Source organism: Homo sapiens, chromosome 17 (assembly GCF_000001405.40).
Source record: "Homo sapiens chromosome 17, GRCh38.p14 Primary Assembly".
NCBI classification, from domain to species: Eukaryota; Metazoa; Chordata; class Mammalia; order Primates; family Hominidae; genus Homo; species Homo sapiens.
Window position 1 is genome coordinate 10,144,372 of NC_000017.11, and position 18,124 is coordinate 10,162,495.

At 46.4% G+C, this 18,124-nt stretch overlaps 1 protein-coding gene across 1 annotated transcript in view, besides 1 other annotated feature; it reads right to left on the reverse strand.

The window, feature by feature from the left end:
- The window catches only part of GAS7 (growth arrest specific 7), a 288,001-nt gene that overhangs the window by 233,766 nt on the left and 36,111 nt on the right, over window positions 1–18,124 (reverse strand). The gene's annotated exons all lie outside the window — the stretch shown is intronic.
- Window positions 12,788–13,007: an enhancer, noted in NCBI's record as "active region_11730". NCBI's record gives its function as "activates an Ori minimal core promoter by ATAC-STARR-seq in GM12878 lymphoblastoid cells {active_cell/tissue: GM12878}" and the evidence as "EXISTENCE:reporter gene assay evidence [ECO:0000049][PMID:35858748]".

An 18,124-nucleotide genomic window follows, 5' to 3' on the forward strand; every position in this document is an offset into this window, starting at 1 on the left:
AACCATGCTCAGAGCAGGACAGGCCCCAAGAGGCATTTTTGGGGCCCTTAAATTCTATCAAAGTTTTAAGATCAACCCAAAATGAGTGGCCAATCTCGGCAGATCCCCAGTATCAGGTAAGAAAGGATCTGGTAAATTATTACACAAATCCTTTTCTGTGGATGTTAATTTCTTTTTTTTCTTTTTTCTTTTAAGACAGACATGCTCTCTCGTCCAGGCTGGAGTACAGTGGCGCAATCACGGCTCACTGCAGCTTTGACCTCCAGGGCTCAGGCAATCCTCCCACCTCAGCCCCCTAAGTAGTTGGGACCACAGGCATGCACCAGCATGCCCAGATAATTTTGGAAAACATTTTTTCTAGAGATAGGATCTTGCTATGTTGCCCAGGCTGTTCTTGAACTCCTGGGCTCAAGCAATCCTCCCACCTTGACCTCCCAAAGCACTGGGATTACAGGCGTGAGCCACTGCGCCTGGCCAGTTGTTACATTTCTAAAAAAAAAGTCTTTTATGTCTTTGAGCTAGGTAAGAACTGCATGGCAGGTACAACAGGCCAGATCAATAGTTCCTGCCCGTCTCTGATTAGAACCTTCTAGAAACCAAACCATAATCAGAGACAGGCAACTGGATGAGGAAGGACGGAACAATACATGACAGAAGGAGTTAGTAGGTTCCAAACGGTGGCTGGGCCATGGTGCAGGAATGGCTGCTGCCCCCAGGCAGAAAGGAGAAGACCAACAGAAATCCACAGCCCCACACTGGCAGACAGCCTGGCTCAGCTCAGGGCTGCAGACGCCCTGGTGTCTGGGGCTGACAGCCAGCAGCACCGGGGCAGGTACTGCTAAGGAAAAGAACCGCAGAGACGCCTGCATTCAATGCTCAAGTGCACATCAAAAGGAAAGAAAACACTCTCTGTATATCAGAGAAGCACGGGGGAAAGTACACAGGAAGGAAAATGGAACTTCAGGGTTCCTCTGGAGCAAGTCATGCCTGGGTGAATCTAAAGAAAAGGTGACTGGAGGAAGCTCAGGCAGTGTGTAAGACCCGAAGAGCTCTCCAGGCGCTCACTGTCAGAAAAGTTAGCTCTAGGAAGGAGGCAGTAGAGGCTTGGATGAAACCTTACAAGGCCCTAGAACCAGGCCCTGGTGGCCTGTCCTGGGCAACATTGAGGATAAACAGCACTCAGGCCCCCCAGGACCAAGTTCTGAGTTCCTGCAGCAGCAGCAGCCGGATCTGTGCCCCAATCCTGGCATGGGTTCAGGGGGCATTGGCAGTTCCGCTGTTTCTGCCAGGGATACAACCACGCTTGCTGCTGAACGGACAGTATAGCTGGGCCAGGTGGGGGAGGTGGGCTTTAGGGGCCAGGGCAGATGGCCCAGGAGTCAACTGAGGGAAGGGGGAAACAGCAATATATTCTAAGACCCCCCCAGAAATGAGAGACACCTCCCAGCTCTCTAAGGGCAGTAACCCTGGAGTTCAATGAAGTGGAATGGCTCATTATTTTGTTTTTGTGGGAGCAAGAACAACCATCTCAACAATGAGAACTTGCCCCCGTAGTCCCAAAGCCAGGATCTTCGTGGGAGGGTTCCAGAGGGTGAGGCCCAGGCCCTCTGAACCAGCAGACCCTTGTCATGGATCAGGTCCTGCGCTGATGGACCTTGAGAGAATGGTGGCTACAGAGGACAAATCCAGAAAAGGCATCCACACACATGCAAGAAGGCAGAGGAAGCATCTGGTTCTCCCCAAACTCGGGGGTAAAACTGTCCACATCGAGCACCAAGGCACCCTGAACTTCCACAGAACCAAGTTAGATAATCCCAGAACTTTGAGGTATCTGGGCCCAAAACTAGTATTAAATTGAAGGCGCAGATAAGAAATGGAATGTTTTCACTTTTTATAGCCCAGTGTGCCCAACCAGTCCATCAAACCCACCTTCTTCCCGGGGCAACCCTAGAAAAGATGTCTCACTCAAAGACAGCCCTGGAGAGCAAGTCCTGGCCAAGTTTTCCCAATTATGACTGCATTTCACATCTTTCTTTACAAGGCAAAGTCCCCGCAAGAGTCAGGGAGTGAATCCTCCAGAGCCTCGCCACTTAGTGTGGACCACAGACCAGCAGCACCAGAATCACCTGGGAACTTGCCAGAAGTACAGTTGTTCAAGCCCCACTCCAAACCTACTGAACCAGCAGCTCTGGGAGGAGGCCCAGCAATCAGGGTTTAAACACTCCCTCCAGGAGACTGTGATGCTCTCTCAGCTTGGACGCTTTCAAAACTGACCACCTCAGTATGAAACAGGCTAAACCATGCTCAAGGGTTAACAGCGTAAAGATCTCTGGCCGGGCGCGGTGGCTCACACCTGTAATCCCAGCACTTTGGGAGGCCGAGGCGGGCGGATCACGAGGTCAAGAGATCGAGACCATCCTGGCTAACACGGTGAAACCCCATCTCTACTAAAAATACAAAAAATTAGCCGGGCGTGGTGGCGGGTGCCTGTAGTCCCAGCTACTCGGGAGGCTGAGGCAGAATGGCATAAACCCGGGAGGCGGAGTTTGTAGTGAGCTGAGATCGCGCCAGAGCGAGACTCCGTCTCATAAAAAAAACGATCTCTGTCTTCCTGTAGTTAGACAATAAAAATTCCTTCATTTAGGACCTACTGTCTCTGAATCTGTACTCCTGTGGGCATTCGAAATTGAGATTTACCTATTAAGTCAAGAATTACAGTAAGCAAGAAAGAAGCCAAAAGCCCTCTTCAAATGCTTAGTCACATGGTTTGCCATTTTTTTTAATATGTTAATTACAAACTACTGATCCATACCTACTCAATTAGCTTTTAAGCACTGAAAAGTACTTTGTTCAACATACTTGCACATATTCCACTGTGTGCCTGGTTTATGGCTTTTGAATAAACAAATAGGTGTTTTCATACTTCCAGGCAAAGCCAGCAGTGGGGCTTGGGTGGGGGCAGAGGGTGGCGTGTATGTGTCTGCGTGTTTAATCACAGCGAAGTATAATACACAACTGCCTCTCTGAAATTTACAAAAATGCTCAGACAACCTCAATTAAGCTGATTTCTAAAATACGCAGACAAAAGGAAACATCCTCAAAGTTTCTGTAAACGGTTTTTGAGCCCACAGCTGAGCCTCTCCACCAGTCTGGAATTTACTAGCTACTCAAAATAACAGGAACATCCTAATATTGCCTCTTACAGCTCAAAAGTAAGGCTTTTAGATCAGCCAAGGGGGCTAAGAAACCTCACATGCATGAACACAGAAAATACACTTGTAAAAATATACTGGGCAAGTGGGCTTGTACACACGTGTTGGGATCAAGGGTACAACACGGCATTTCTCTCTCATGCCAAAGATCCAAATATGATGTTTATCGAAGCTTCCCAAAGCCAAGCTCAAACTCTATTAATGTGAATCTTGGGGGAAAAAATCAGAGTACCTTTATCTAGATTTTTTAAAACGGTGTGAACACTGCCAAGAGCTCATAATAAAAAGAGTACAGAACTCCAAGTCAAAAGGTCTGAATGCCAAGTCTGTCTTTTACCAACTGCCACTTCCTAACCTGGCCGCAAATCACAAATTCTGAACCTCCCATGTCCCCAGCTGAAAAATCAAGATGATGGAAATAGTAACTGCTTGTTGGAGCTCAAGGAGCTGCTGTGAGAGCCGATCATGTATCTCATGTGAGAGCACCTGAAAAATCATAAAGCACACGTGAACATCAATTATTGGCTAGCACAGGCATTTTTGATTTAGGAGCTTGAGAAAGAGGGAGTCAAAAAAAGAACACAGTTTTTTTGCACTTTTATGTTTCTTGGTTGTGTTCTGGTGTTGGAGGTTATTTTTGTGGGGTGAAAAGCTGCCTCGTTGGTTTCGGTTAACCTAGACCTTTCTTCACCTGCATCCCTTGGATAACTGTTTGCTGCTGGTTAAGAATCCTCTCTCAGTTAAGAGCCAGACGCAGCGGCTCACACCTGCAATCCCAGCACTTTGGGAGGTCATGGTGGGTGGATCACAAGGTCAGGAGATCAAGACCAGCATGGCCAATATGGTGAAACCCCGTCTCTACTAAAATTACAAAAAAAAAAAAAATTAGCCAGGCGTGGTGGTGCATGCCTGTAGTCCCAGCTACTCTGGAGGCTGAGACAGGAGAATTACTCGAACCCGGGAGGCGGAGGTTGCAGTGAGCCAAGATTGCACCACTGCACTCCAGCCTGGGCAACAGAGAAACACTCAAGAAAAAAAAAAAAAAAGGCCAGGCGCGGTGGCTCACGCCTGTAATCCCAGCACTCTGGGAGGCTGAGGTGGGCGGATCACGAGGTCAGGAGATCGAGACCATCCTGGCTAACACGGTGAAACCCCATCTCTACTAAAAATACAAGAATTAGCTGGGCATGGTGGCGGGTGCCTGCAGTCCCAGCTACTCCGGAGGCTGAGGCAGGAGAATGGCATGAACCTGGGAGGCGGAGCTTGCAGTGAGCAGAGATGGTGTCACTGCACTCCAACCTGGGCGACAGAGAAAGACTCCGCCTCAAAAAAAAAAAAAAAAAGAATCCTCTCTTGAACAGAACGGTATCAGGTCAACTGGATGATGAATAAATGATGGAGAACCCTGGCCCATATGATCCAATAAACCATCTTCCTGCTCCAGAAGGTTGCTGCAAGGCATGTCAGCCTAAATAGAAGAGGATCCATTTTTGTTCATTTTTATGTATTTATTTTGTTTTATTTATTCATTTATTTTGAAACAGAGTCTTGCTCTATCACCCAGACTGGAGTGCAGTGGTGCGATCTTGGCTCACTTCAACCTTCATCTCCTGGGTTTAAGCGATTCTGCTGCCTGAGCCTACAGAGTAGCTGGGATTACAGGTGCCCGCCACCATGCCCAACTAATTTTTGTATTTTTAGTAGAGACAGGGTTTTGCCACATTAGCCAGGCTGGTCCCAAACTCCTGACCTCAGTTGATCCACCCGCCTTGGCCTCCCAAAGTGCTGGGATTACAGACGTGAGCCACCGCGCCCGGCCCCATTTTGAAATAACATATCTCACCTTATAGAATTTTAGGATACTGCAGCCGAAGAACACAAAAACCAACTTATATTTTTGTGACTTTCCATCAATTCCATTTGAGGATTAGAGGTGGAAAAGAGGTAGAAACAGTTTGGCAGTTCTTTATTAAGCACAGAGTCCTCATACAATCTAGTAATTCCACTCCTAGCTAGAGACCCAAGAGAACTGAAAACATGTCCCACAAAAAAACTTGTACACCAATGTTTGTCACAGCATTATTCACAATAGCTAGAAAGTATAACCAATTCACATGTCCATCCACTGATGGACAGGTAAAACGTGGCATATCGGGATAATGGAATATTATTCAGCCATGAAAAGGAATGAAGTGCTGATGCATGTTACAATACAGATAAACCTCGAAAACATTACACTAAGTGAAATAAGCCAGACACAAAAGGCCAGATATCATGTAACATTATTCTGTTTCTATGAAATGCCTAGAATAGGCAAATCCACAGAGACAGAAATCGATTAGTAGTTGTTGGTTGTTAGGGGTAAGGAGATGGGGTGAATGGGGAGTGACAGCTAACAGGGAAGGGGTTTCTTTCTGAGGTGATGGAAGTGTTCTGCAGTTAGTGAATATATTAGAATACTACACAGTGAATATACTATAAACCACTGAACTGTATACTGTAGAGAGCTGAGTTTTACGTTATGTGAATAACATCTCAATAAAGAAAAAAATATTAACTATTTTTTAAAGACCTAGAAATAGTGGTTAACCAACTAATCAGGAATTAAAAGGGCAGCATACCAGGTGATGACTCATTCACCAACTCCCAAGAGGAAGTGTGGTTGTGACATTTACGTTGATTTCATCTGACCTCCAACCTCAAACCCCAGGCACTCTCTTGCACACTTCAACTTTCCGTTTTCCTTTCTCCCTTCCGCCCATTCCCCTTTGACTCTTTCCTTTTCTTCCTCTCCTTTTCTTCTCTTTCTTTCTTTCTCTCAACTGGTTAAGTACACACACACACACACACACACACACACACACACACAAAGTGTAAATGGATACAGTGAAGGTAGTGGGCTTTTGAAATGTAACTTTTCTCCTTGCCTATAGAAGTTGTTGAATGAACACCTATGAGAGGCAGCAAATTGGAGTCATCTGGACTCAGTAATGAGGCTGTTACATTTCTTTTTTTTTTTTTTTTAGACAGGGTCTCACTCTCTTGCCCAGACTGGAGTGCAGTGGCACGATCTCGGCTCACTGCAACCTCTGCCTCACAGGCTCAAGCAATTCTCCTGCCTCAGCCTCCCGAGTAGCTGGGATTACAGGCATGCATCACTACCGCCCAGCTAATTTTATATTTTTAATACAGACAGGGTTTCACCATGTTGGCCAGGCTGGTCTCGAACTCCTGACCTAAAATGCTCCACCCACCTCGGCCTCCCAAGCTGCTGGGATTACAGGCGTGAGCCACCGCACCTGGCCAAGGCTGTTAAATTTCATTCAATCCAGGCATCATCATGGTGTGACCATAAGTGAGCAAGTCACTTTACTTCTGTGCCTCAGTTTCCCCACCTGTAAAATGGGGACAATAGTAGAACCTAACGCATGAAGTTGTTGTTAGGATTAAAAAGAATAGAACAAAGCTTGACACCCAGCAAGTGCTCTACAAAAAAGTAGAAGCCTGTGAACTGAGGCTGGTTCTGAGGTTCCCTGGACCTGACTTAAAAGCATATTTCCAGATGTCAGACTTCTTCTTTTTTTAAGTTTGGTTATTTTTTTTTAGAGATGGGGTCTTGCTCTGTTGCCCAAGCTGATTTCAAACTCCTGGGCTCAAGTGGTTCTCCTGCCTCAGCCCTGCTAGTAGCTGGGACTATAGGCACAGGCCAACATACCAAGTTAAAGGGTTTCGTTTGCTTGTTTTTGTTTTTGTTTTTTTTTTAAATACTTGTCACTGATGAAGCTCAGATGAAGCCTCTTTTAAGTATTGTTTTCTAACAATACTGTTTTCTAACAAAACTGTCACATGTTCATTTTTCTTGGTGATATTTTATCTTGTTATTAAATATTATTCTACGTCATTTAATGACAGCATTTAATGTGATTATAAGAGTCTATCATCAATCTACGTACCTACCTACCATCTATCTATTTATTTACAGATAGGGCCTCACTCTGTCATCCAGGCTGGAGTGCAATGGCATGATCATGGCTCACTGCAACCTTGACATCCTTGGCTCAAGTGAGTCTCCCACCTAAGCCTCCTGAATAGCTAGGGCTACAGGTGTACACCACCATGCCCAGCTACTTTTTTTATTTTTTACAGAGAAAGGGTTTCCCTAATGTTGCCCAAGCTAGTCTTGAACTCCTGGCTTCAAGCGCTCCTCCTGCCTCGGCCTCCCAAAGTGCTAGGATTACAAGCACGAGCCACCATAACCCAACCTAAATAAAGTTTTCCAGTTTTGACTTTTACTTCTGACACCCTTTCAGTTTCCCTTTGTTAATGGAAGAAGAGAGAGAATCACTGCTGCATTCCAAAATGGAAGGAAAAGAGAGCCAGGACTTTCAGTTGCCAGTGGCAGAAATCCAATCCACAAGTTTAAGCCAACACAAAGGAGGATTTATCAGCATGCATCACTGGAGTTCAGTGATGCCTGGTTCCAGGGACTCACACAATGTCTACAGGACATCTTCTCTCACCTCTGACTGGCTGTCACGTGTAGGTGGACTCTGCCCCAACTAGAGAGCCACTGGTAACTTCCTCCCAACTTAGCAACGTATCTTGGTTGACAAGCCCCACCAAAGTCACATGGCGGGGTGAGAATAGGGAAGTTCCCCGAAAAGATGGGAGATAGAACATTATGACAGGCAGATCAAAACAGAAGCTGTACCAATCCACTTTAGTCAGCAATCGACTCCCCAAGAGAATCTTATTGAGGAACGATTCTGTGCTCAGCACCGTCTAAGGCATGCAGGCGGAACACAGAAGGATTCATCACAATACCTTGACTTTGTAAAGCATCACTTCCCAGTGAAGAATTGACTGTGCGTGCATTAGCTCTTAACCCTTAGAGTTCCCAGTACTTAGCTTAATTTCACACATGACAAAAGGAGACCCACCTAGACCGAGTGACTCATTCAAGGTCACACAGCCAAGATGTGACTCCAGATAGACATTCCCCCAGTCCAGTGCCTCGTCCACTGCTGCCGTGTGCAAGGGGCCATGTTAAACATGACGGTGGAGAGCAAGATGGCAGAGGAGGAGACGCAGCCTTCAAGGCCTCTCTATATTAACATAAATGCTCCAATCTGTCAATTCAGGGTGGCATGTGCAGGTGCCGCTTAGGTGCCTCCTCCCAAGGAAGACAAGGCCCTGAGAGCTGAAGATGAGCAAGAGTTTCTAGAGGAGGACTTTGCAGGATGCAGGGAGATGGTGAGGAGGGCCAGACAGGCCAAGCAAGGGTAGGTGCGTGGCCATTTCTTACACTTCTTCAGAAATCAATGAGAAACCTGGCTGGGCACAGTGGCTCACACCTGTAATACCCAGCACTTTGGGAGGCGGGTGGATTATCTGAGGTCAGGAATTTGAGACCAGCCTGACCAACATGGTAAAACCCCATCCCCACTAAAAATACAAAAAAAAAAAAAAAAAAAAATTAGCTGGGCATAGTGGCGGGCACCTGTAATCCCAGCTACTCAGGGTAGCTTAGGCAGGAGAATTGCTTGAACCCAGGAGGAGGAGGTTACACTGAGCCAAGATCACGCCATTACACTCCAGCCCAGGTGACACGGCAAGCCTCCGTCTCAAAAAAAAAACACTGGGCGTGGTGGCTCACGCCTGTAATCCCAGCACTTTGGGAGCCCGAGGTAGGCAGATCACGAGGTCAGGAATTCAAGACCAGCCTGGCCAAGAGACCAGCCTGGCCAATATGGTGAAACCCCATCTCTACTAAAAATACAAAAATTAGCCGGGTGTGGTGGCGGGTGCCTGTAACCCAGCTACTTGGGAGGCTGAGGCAGGAGAATTGCTTGTACCCAGGGGGCACAGGTTGCAGTGAGCTGAGATCATGCCACTGCACTCCAGCCTGGGTGACAGAGTGAGACTCTTTGACTCACAAAAAAAAAAAAAAAAAGAAATCAATGAGAAACCTGAAGCCTGACTGGCTGGAACAGAAGGAATCCGTAAGAAATGAGTAGAAGAATAAAATAATAATGTTTTTTAAATTAGTATTGTTCTTTTAAATTATTTACATGTATTAAATCATTCATTTACTTTTCCTATTTTATGAAATAAGTCCCACTATCATGCCCATTTTACAGATGAGGAAATTGATGTACCAAAAGGTTTGAGCAACTTCCTGCAGGTCAGAGTGACCAAGCAGGCCAGGTGAGGTGGCTCATGCCTGTAATCCCAGCATTTTGGGAGGCCAAGATGGGAGGATCACTTGAGGCCTGGAGTTCAAGACCGGCCTGGGCAACATAAAAAGATTCATCTCTATAAAAACAACAAGTTTTAAAATGTAATTTAGCTGGGTGTGGTGGTATGCACCTGTAGTCCCAGCTACTTGGAAGGTTGAGGCAGGAGGACTGCTTGAGCCCAGGAGTTTGAGGTAATAAACACAATAATAATGTAATCTGGATCTATAATTCCAAATAATTTCATCATGGGACATGGTAGAGAAAAGATAGAAAGGAAAGTAAAAATATGCTGAGACTCTTGCCTTTTTGGCAAATAGAATATAAATGCTGGTTAACTGTAGTCTTTGATTAAAATATATATTAAAATATACATATTAAAAATTCACACAGGCCAAACTGGGTCTGATGGCTCATGCCTGTAATCCAGACAGTTTGGGAGGCCGAGGCAGGAGGATCACTTGAGCTCAGGAGTTTAAGACCAGCCTGGGCAACATAGAGAGACCTTGTCTCTACAAGAAATAAAATTAAAAATTTAGCCAGGCATGGTAGCAAACATCTGTGGTCTCAGCTACTCAGGAGGCCAAGGTGGGAGGATTGCTTGAACCCAGGAGGTCGAGACTGCAGTTAGCAGTGATCATGCCACTGCACTCCAGCTTAGATGACAGGGTGAGGCCTTGTCTCAAGAAAAACAAAAAAAAAAAATTCACAGGCCAGGCATAGTGGCTGACGCTTGTAATCCCATCACTTTGGGAGGCTGAGGCCAGAGGATCACTTGAGGCCAGGAGTTTGAGACCAGCCAGGGCAGTATAGTGAGACTGCCGCCCAACCGCCCATCTCTATTTTTCAAAAAGAAAGAAAGAAAAACAGAGTGACTGAGCAGAGATTCAAAACTCAGTCCAAACCCACTGGTTTCCCTGTGCTCTTAACAACTGTATCATGCTGTCTATGGGTGATGCTCCCCAGCCAGCTAGAAAACACCTTCACTATAGGTGAAAAGTGGTGCTCACTGCACTGTGTTCAGGAAAAGTGTGTCCTGGAGAAACGCTTCATAAAGGTGGAGCTACCATTACCCCAATCCCCAACCCCAGGCTACACACACACACACACACACACACACACACACACACACACACAAAACCCATGTCCACAGTCTGCATGGGAACCTCCATCCCTAAATCCTACTAAACCAATAACTCTTTTTTTTTTTTTGAGACAAAGTCTCACTCTTGTCCCCCAGTCTGGAGTGCAGTGGCACGATCTCGGCTCACTGCGACCTCCGCCTCCCGGGTTCAAGCGATTCTCCTGTCTCAGCCTCCCGAGTACCTGGGATTACAGGTGCGTACCAACACACCCAGCTAATTTTTTGTATTTTAAGTAGAGATGGGGTTTCACCATGTTGGCCAGGCTGGTCTCGAACTCCTGACCTCAGGTGATCCACCCATCTCGGCCTCCCAAAGTGCTGGGATTACAGGTGTGAGCCACCGTGCCCGGCCACCAATAACTCTTTTTAAGACAAGAAATATTAAAGTAAAAACAATTCCTCTCCCTCCACTTCCCTTCTCCCAAGACTCTTCCTTCTGATAGCCATGTTTTCAGGCTCACCCCCAGCTCTGCCCTATTCAGAAACCAAAGGTCCTCATAAAAGTATTTGTAATAATGTGTGAATGACTCGTGAGCTTCAAATAACTGTCTCTGCAGCAAATGGCCAGCCTCCAAATAGAAGCTAGTTCAAGCCAGTTTCCTTGGCTCATTTCCCACCGCTATGTCAGGGATCAATTTAGACCATGGCCTCCCTCCCATTTTCTCTTCCCTGGCGGTACCATTCTTCTGGTCCTCCCACTCCCATCCCAAAACTGGTCCACTCAGTCCTCTCCTGTTCAGAGGCAGCCTTCATGACAGTGTCGGAGACCCTAAGGGTTAAATATACAGCAGTGGTTTAAAGTTTTACCTGTATTTACTCATTTGATCCTTAAAATAACCCTAAGAGACATGTATTATAATGGTCCTATTTCCAGATGAGAAATCTGAGATACAGAAAGGTTATGTAATCTGCCCAGGGACTCACAGCTAGTAAGTAGTACAGCTGGCATTGACACCCCGCACTCTCTGAACCACTATGCCACACAGGCATGGATGAGCAACCCTCACCAAGAGTCAGGTTCGAAGGGAATACATTCTCTTCCAACCATGCAACTGACTTCCTTACTTGTTCCATTGCCCCAGCCTAGAGACGAGATTCTCTAACTCCGACCTAGCTTCTTTCCCAACTCTGACTTTTTCTTCTTGCTCCACCCATCCTTAGCTCCGCCACAATGTCCCTCTCTTTCCATCACTTTTTTGGTCCTTGATAATATTTCCTTCGTAAGCAGATTTCTCCAAACCTCTACCCTGGGGAGCCCATTCTGGCATTCCACCTCCTAAACCCATGTTCCTGCAAAGTGTCTCTGTTGTCCTAGCCCTCCATGCCACAGCCATGGGTGCCCTTCGCCTGTTTCTTGACTCAAGCCAGGCAGGAGGAGGATCTTTATGAACAAGATCCCCCACCCCATATGTCTGCATTTAATTTCAGATCAGTTCCTAGGCCAAAGCTCTCTTCCAAACTCGTCAAGAGAAGTTTTAAATATATTCTCCCAGAGCAAATAATTTTGTGTTTTAACATGGGACAAAGCTCTAGAAACATCTCTGGGCTGGTGACTCTCCACTTGCCTGTCGGGAGCTAGCTTTGGCCCTTCTCCTGCAGCTCCTGCACCAGAAGGCTGACCCACAGGGACTCCAGGGACCCTCGCACCCTCTGGCTACAGTGAAAGACAATTTGGCCACTGAAAGTCATAGGTAGGAGATGAAGGTTCATGAGGAAAGCGAGGTTGGGGTATTTTCACCAGTTCCCTCCTAGCAGGCTGCAGGCTGCAGGCTGGGGTTGGGAGTAGCAGTGGCTTCTTTAGAGCAGTCGGCCCCCTCCTGCTGCAGGCCTCCCTCCCTTTTCCCCTCTCTGGGCGTGCTTCCCCATCCTCTACCCTGCTCAAGCCTCTATAAACAGCCCCTCCTTCAAACTCCCCACTGCCTTCCCAATCAAGATCCCCCTCCAGGCACCCTCAATAGTGGAGTTCAGACACAGCCACTGAGGACAAGCTCTCTGCAAGCCCTGGACACCAAAGTATTTTGGTGACCACTTCCTCCTAACCAGGCCTTGGTCGGTGGCTCCTTCACAAAATGACATCTGAGAAGAAACAGAAAGCCAAATGAGGATGTGGGTGGCCCTGCTCCTCCCCGGACACAGACCCATGCATCATGACAAGGCCACACATGCCCAGTCACAGGATTTGACACATGGGACCCCTGGGAGAAGGAGGAAACACCCACGGCTTACAAACCCGCAGCAAACCCAGAGTCCTCAGCCTAGGAAAGGGGCTGGGGACAGGGCCTGACACCCTGAAGTGCAAGGCCTGCCAACCTTGGAGCTGACGAGGGGAATAATTTTTTTAAAGATCCATTACTGTCAACTGCCCCCGGGAACACCCTTCTTTGCACCAACTCCCCTGCCTTTCAATATGAAGACAAGTCTGACGCCTACGTGGGGAACTCAAAGTCACACTTCCTCTGGCAGCCGTTGGTCAAACCGCTTTATAAATCTGCTAATGATTTTGTGTTATCCTGCTAGACTGACACTCGTTGGAAAAAAAAGTTACATAACTGGAAATGATTAGAAGATAAGGCTTTGAGCATCATGCTTGGAAATTTCACTGCTCTGCCCAATTTTGGGCTGAGTTTTAACAAACCAGCATTTCCTGGCTCCTGACACTGGGAAGCCTTGTAGGTGTGAGAATCTGCTTCCAGTTAATAGTAGACACTTTGGAACCAGGTTTGTCACATGAATATACCCTTGGTCCTCCCGTCAGTCAACTGGACTCTTCACCCTCCCCGCAAAAAATTTAAAAGCCACCCTTAGACATATCACCCTTAGGCATATCACCCTTAGACACACACAATTTCACACACATGTGAAACCCAGATGGCCAGTAAGCATATAGGTACTCGTAGGCTGGACATGGTGGTATCCACCTGCAGTCCCAGCTACTCTAGGAGGCTGGGATGGGAGGATTGCTTGAGCCCAGGAGATTGAGGTTCCAGTGAGCTATGATCGTACCACTGCGCTCCAGCCTAGGCAACAGAACAAAATCCTGTTATTTTATTTTATTTTTATTTTTTGAGACGGAGTCTCGCTCTGTCACCCAGGCTGGAGTGCAGCGGCACAATCTCGGCTCACTGCAAGCTCTGCCTCCCAGGTTGATGCCATCCTCCTGCCTCAGCCTCCCTAGTAGCTGGGTCTACAGGCGTCCGCCACCACACCTGGCTAATTTTTTTGTATTTTTTTAGTAGAGACGGGGTTTCACCGTGTTAGCCAGGATGGTCTCGATCTCCTGACCTTGTGATCCACCCACCTCGGCCTCCCAAAGCGCTGGGATTACAGGCGTGAGCCACCGCACCCGGCCAATCCTGTTTTTTCTTTTTTTGGTAAAAAAAAAAAAAAAAAAAAAAAACAAGGCCAGGTGCAGGGGGCTCGCATCTGTAATCCCAACACTTTGGGAGGCCGAGGTAGGAGAGTCACTTGAGGCCAGGAGTTCAAGACCAGCCTGGGTAACATAGCAAGATCCCACCTCTATAAAAAGAAAAATAAAAAAAGATATGTGCATTACACTGTATGTAAGTTAATGCTCTGTATACTGAACTCCTTAGAATGAAGTATACTGCTGTTCTCAACTTACTTTGAAATGTTTCCAAAAAAATACGATTGATGGAAGGATAGAAGGTTAGATATGCAATAAAACAAGTATAAGAAAATGTTAATGGCGGAATCTGATGATGGGTATATAAGTGTGCACTGTAATTCTTGCAACTCTTCAAATTTTTCATAATAAAATTCTGAAAAATTGCTAATTAAAAAGGTAAAGAGGCCAAGCACAGTGGGGCACACCTGTAATCTCAGCACCTTGGGAGGCCAAGGTGGGAGGATCATTTGAGCTGAGGAGTTCAAGATCAGCCTGGGCAACATGGTGAAACCTCATCTCTTCTAAAAAATACAAAATATTAGCTGGGCATGGTGGCATGCACATGTAGTCCCAGATACTCGGGAGGCTGAGGTGAGAGGATCATCACCTGAGCCCAGGAAGTGGAGGCTGCAGTGAGCCAAGATCACACCACTGCACTCCAGCGTGGACAACAGAGTGAGACACTGTCTCTAAAACATATATATATATATATATATATATATATATATTAAAGATAACACACACGCACAATGTGAGACCCCTACACGTTCACCCAAATGACTAAAATCTGTAAAACCAGCAATGGCACACACAGACAAGGATGTAGAACTATGAGAAGTCACAGACAGTGCCAGTGGGAGTGGAACACTATTTGGTAGTATTTCCCAAGAGTAAACATATGATACACATATTCTATGACCTAGCAATCCTACCCCTAGGTGAATACCCAACACAAATGAGAGCTTTCGTCCACCAAAAACATGTACGAGAATGTTCAAGGTAGCACTGTTCATAATAGTATGAAAGAACCCAAAGATCCAAGAGTAGGATAAATAATTGATGGTGTATTTATTCATAGGGTGACACACTACACAGCAATGAGAATGAACTACTGCCACCCATAATATAGGTGAATCTCACAAACAAGGTGTTAAGTGAGAAAAGCCAGATGCACCCCCCCCAACCTCCATCACCAAAAAGAATAACTTCTCTATGCTCAGTTTATGTAAAATTTAAAACCAAGCAAAATTATTACACAATCTAGAAGTCAAGATCGGGGTCACCTTTGGAAGAGAGTACTGACTTGGAGAGAAGGTTTCTTAGGTCCTGGGTAAGTTCCGTGTCTGACGTAGATGCTCATTACAAGAGTGTTCCCAGTTTATGAAAACGCATCAAACTATACACATGAAGTGTGACCTTTTTTTTTTTTTTTTTGAGACAGTGTCTCACTCTGTCGCCCAGGCTGAAGTGCAGTGGCACGATCTTGGCTCCCTGCAACCTCTGCCTCCCAGGCTCAAGTGATCCTCCCACCTCAGTCTCCTGAGTAGCTGGGACTACAGGTGCATGCCACCACACCTAGCTAATTTTTTTGTAGAGACAGGGTTTCCCCATATTGCCCAGGCTGGTCTTGAACTCCTGAGCTCAAGTAATCCAACCACCTCAGCCTCCTGAGTAGCTGGCACTACAGGTGCGTGCCACCACACCTAGCTAATTTCTTGTAGGGACAGGGTTTCCCCATATTGCCCAGGCTGGTCTTGAACTCCTGAGCTCAAGCGATCCACCCACCTCAGCCTCCCAAGGTGCTGGGATTACAGGCATGAGCGACCCTGTCTGGCCAGGTATGACCGTTCTTCTGTATGTAGGTTACACTTCAACTTAAAAAATTTACACTAAAAATTGTATTAAAAAAAAAGGTGGATCTTCAAGCAATTCGTAGAGATCTAGGGGGTATTTTTAATTGTTTCTCTTTGATTTTGTCCCTATTTCTACTGCCCATTTAAAACACAGATATTAAATAAAACAGTTACAGGACCATATAGAGCTAAAAGCGACTTCGAAGATCACCTAGTTTAATTCCTCTGTTTTACAGATGTTGAGAGCTGAGGCTGAGAAAGCTTAAGAGACTTGCCCAGGTTACCTAGCCAGGAAGAAGAAAGGCACCTAGAGCCTGTGAATCCCAGCTCCCTGTCTAGTGGTCTCTCCACGGCATACCAAACCTCTGTAATCTCACCATGACTGCCTGGGCTCACCCTTGCCACCAGGCAGATCACATCACAGGTGCGCAATATGACATTTTCCTCTAACTATAATATAGAAAGTTAAGGAAGTATGTGCTTTGCTTGTCGTTTATTTCAGGGATGGGTCTCACTATGTTGCCTAGGCTGAATAGCAGTGGCTTCACACAGGCAAAATCATAAAACACTAAAACCTCAAACTCCTGGCCTCAAGCAATCCTCCTACCTCAGCCTCCCAAGTAGCGGGAACTGCTGGCATGAGCCACCACACCTGGTCATAATATGGCTGTTTTTGACAGGATGCAGTAAGTTGGAAGCCATAGAAATTGAAACCATACACACACACACACACACACACACACACACACACACACAGACGAAGGCATGGCAGTATTTATTGGCTCATATAACTTGGAAGTTCAAGAGTGTCTGGCCTTCAGTTGCAGATGGATCCAAGCACTTGAACAAGGGTCGCGGCTCCGTTTTGTTTGTTTGTTTGCGGTTTTTGTTTGTTTTTTGCTAGCTTCATTCTCAGGTGCTTCCCAAGTATTACCAAAGATGGTCATGGCAGCTCCAAGTTTATAATCTTCCTAGCTTTAACAACCCCAGGGGAAGAAAGCATTTCTTTGCCAAACTATACAGCAAAAGGTCCTAGGGAGGGAAGAAGCTCATGAACCCAGCTTGGGTGACATGTCCATTTCTGGTTCACTGTAGTGAGAGGGATTTAGGAGAGGCCTGGTTCTAACCAAACTCAAACCAGCTCCAACCAATAGTTCACTCATTTTCCAATGAACCCACTGCATCTGTGGTTCCCCAAAGAAAAATGGAAGTGTCGTTACCAGAAGAAGGAGAATCAGAGACAACAGACCACAAATATCCACTACAGTAGGTGCCATCTTGTCCTCTGACTCGAGCACTGTAACAGGATTTTACCATGTCAACGGGAAAGGAAGGTCGCAGACTTTGAACTTGAGCTTCCTGCAGACTCACATTCCCACACATTTCAGCTGACTGCTCAACAGTTAATCTTGACAGATCTCAGTTGTTCCACTCAGTCATTAACTATTACATTTAAATCAAATATGCCCTCCAGCCCAAGCCAAAAAACATACAATGATGGATGATGAAGCCAAATGCAAATGTCCAGTTGCCAATCTGCCTTACAAAAACGCCTTCCCAGGCCGGGTGCGGTGGCTCATGCGTGTAATCCCAGCATTTTGGGAGGCCGAGGCGGGCGGATCATGAGGTCAGGAGATCGAGACCATCCTGGTTAACGCGGTGAAACCCCGTCTCTACTAAAAAACATACAAAAAATTAGCCAGGCGTGGTGGCGGGCGCCTGTATTTCCAGCTACTCAGGAGGCTGAGGCAGGAGAATGGCGTGAACCCGGGAGGCGGAGCCTGCAGTGAGCCGAGATTGTGCCACTGCACTCCAGCCTGGGCGACAGAGCAAGACTCCATCTCAAAAAAAAAAAAAAAAAAAAAATCGCCTTCCCAGAATGCTGGCAGAACCCTTCCGAAGGCTCCCAGTCTGAAGGTGCTAATATCGCCCAGGCACATGCTGGTCCCTCTGAGATAAACTGAAAGCAGTGACTTGGCTTGGGATTGTCCCTGCTCTGACAGCCCGGCCTGAAGAAGCAGCGCTGCCCAGTGTAAGAATCACACAGTCTGTGCTGAGAAGCTGGGCGGGCTTATTTCAGGGGGAAAAACATCACACTGAATCCTCTCTCTCTAGGAGGGAGCTGTATATTTTATGAATGGTGTGAACCACTCCTGGATGTTACTTCCTGAATTTATTTAAAGAATTTAATGTATCCTTCAAGTTTCCTGGGTCCCCCCTCCCACTCATTCTTGACAAGCACTCTGGGGGAGCTTGTATCTTTTGATTTTTTT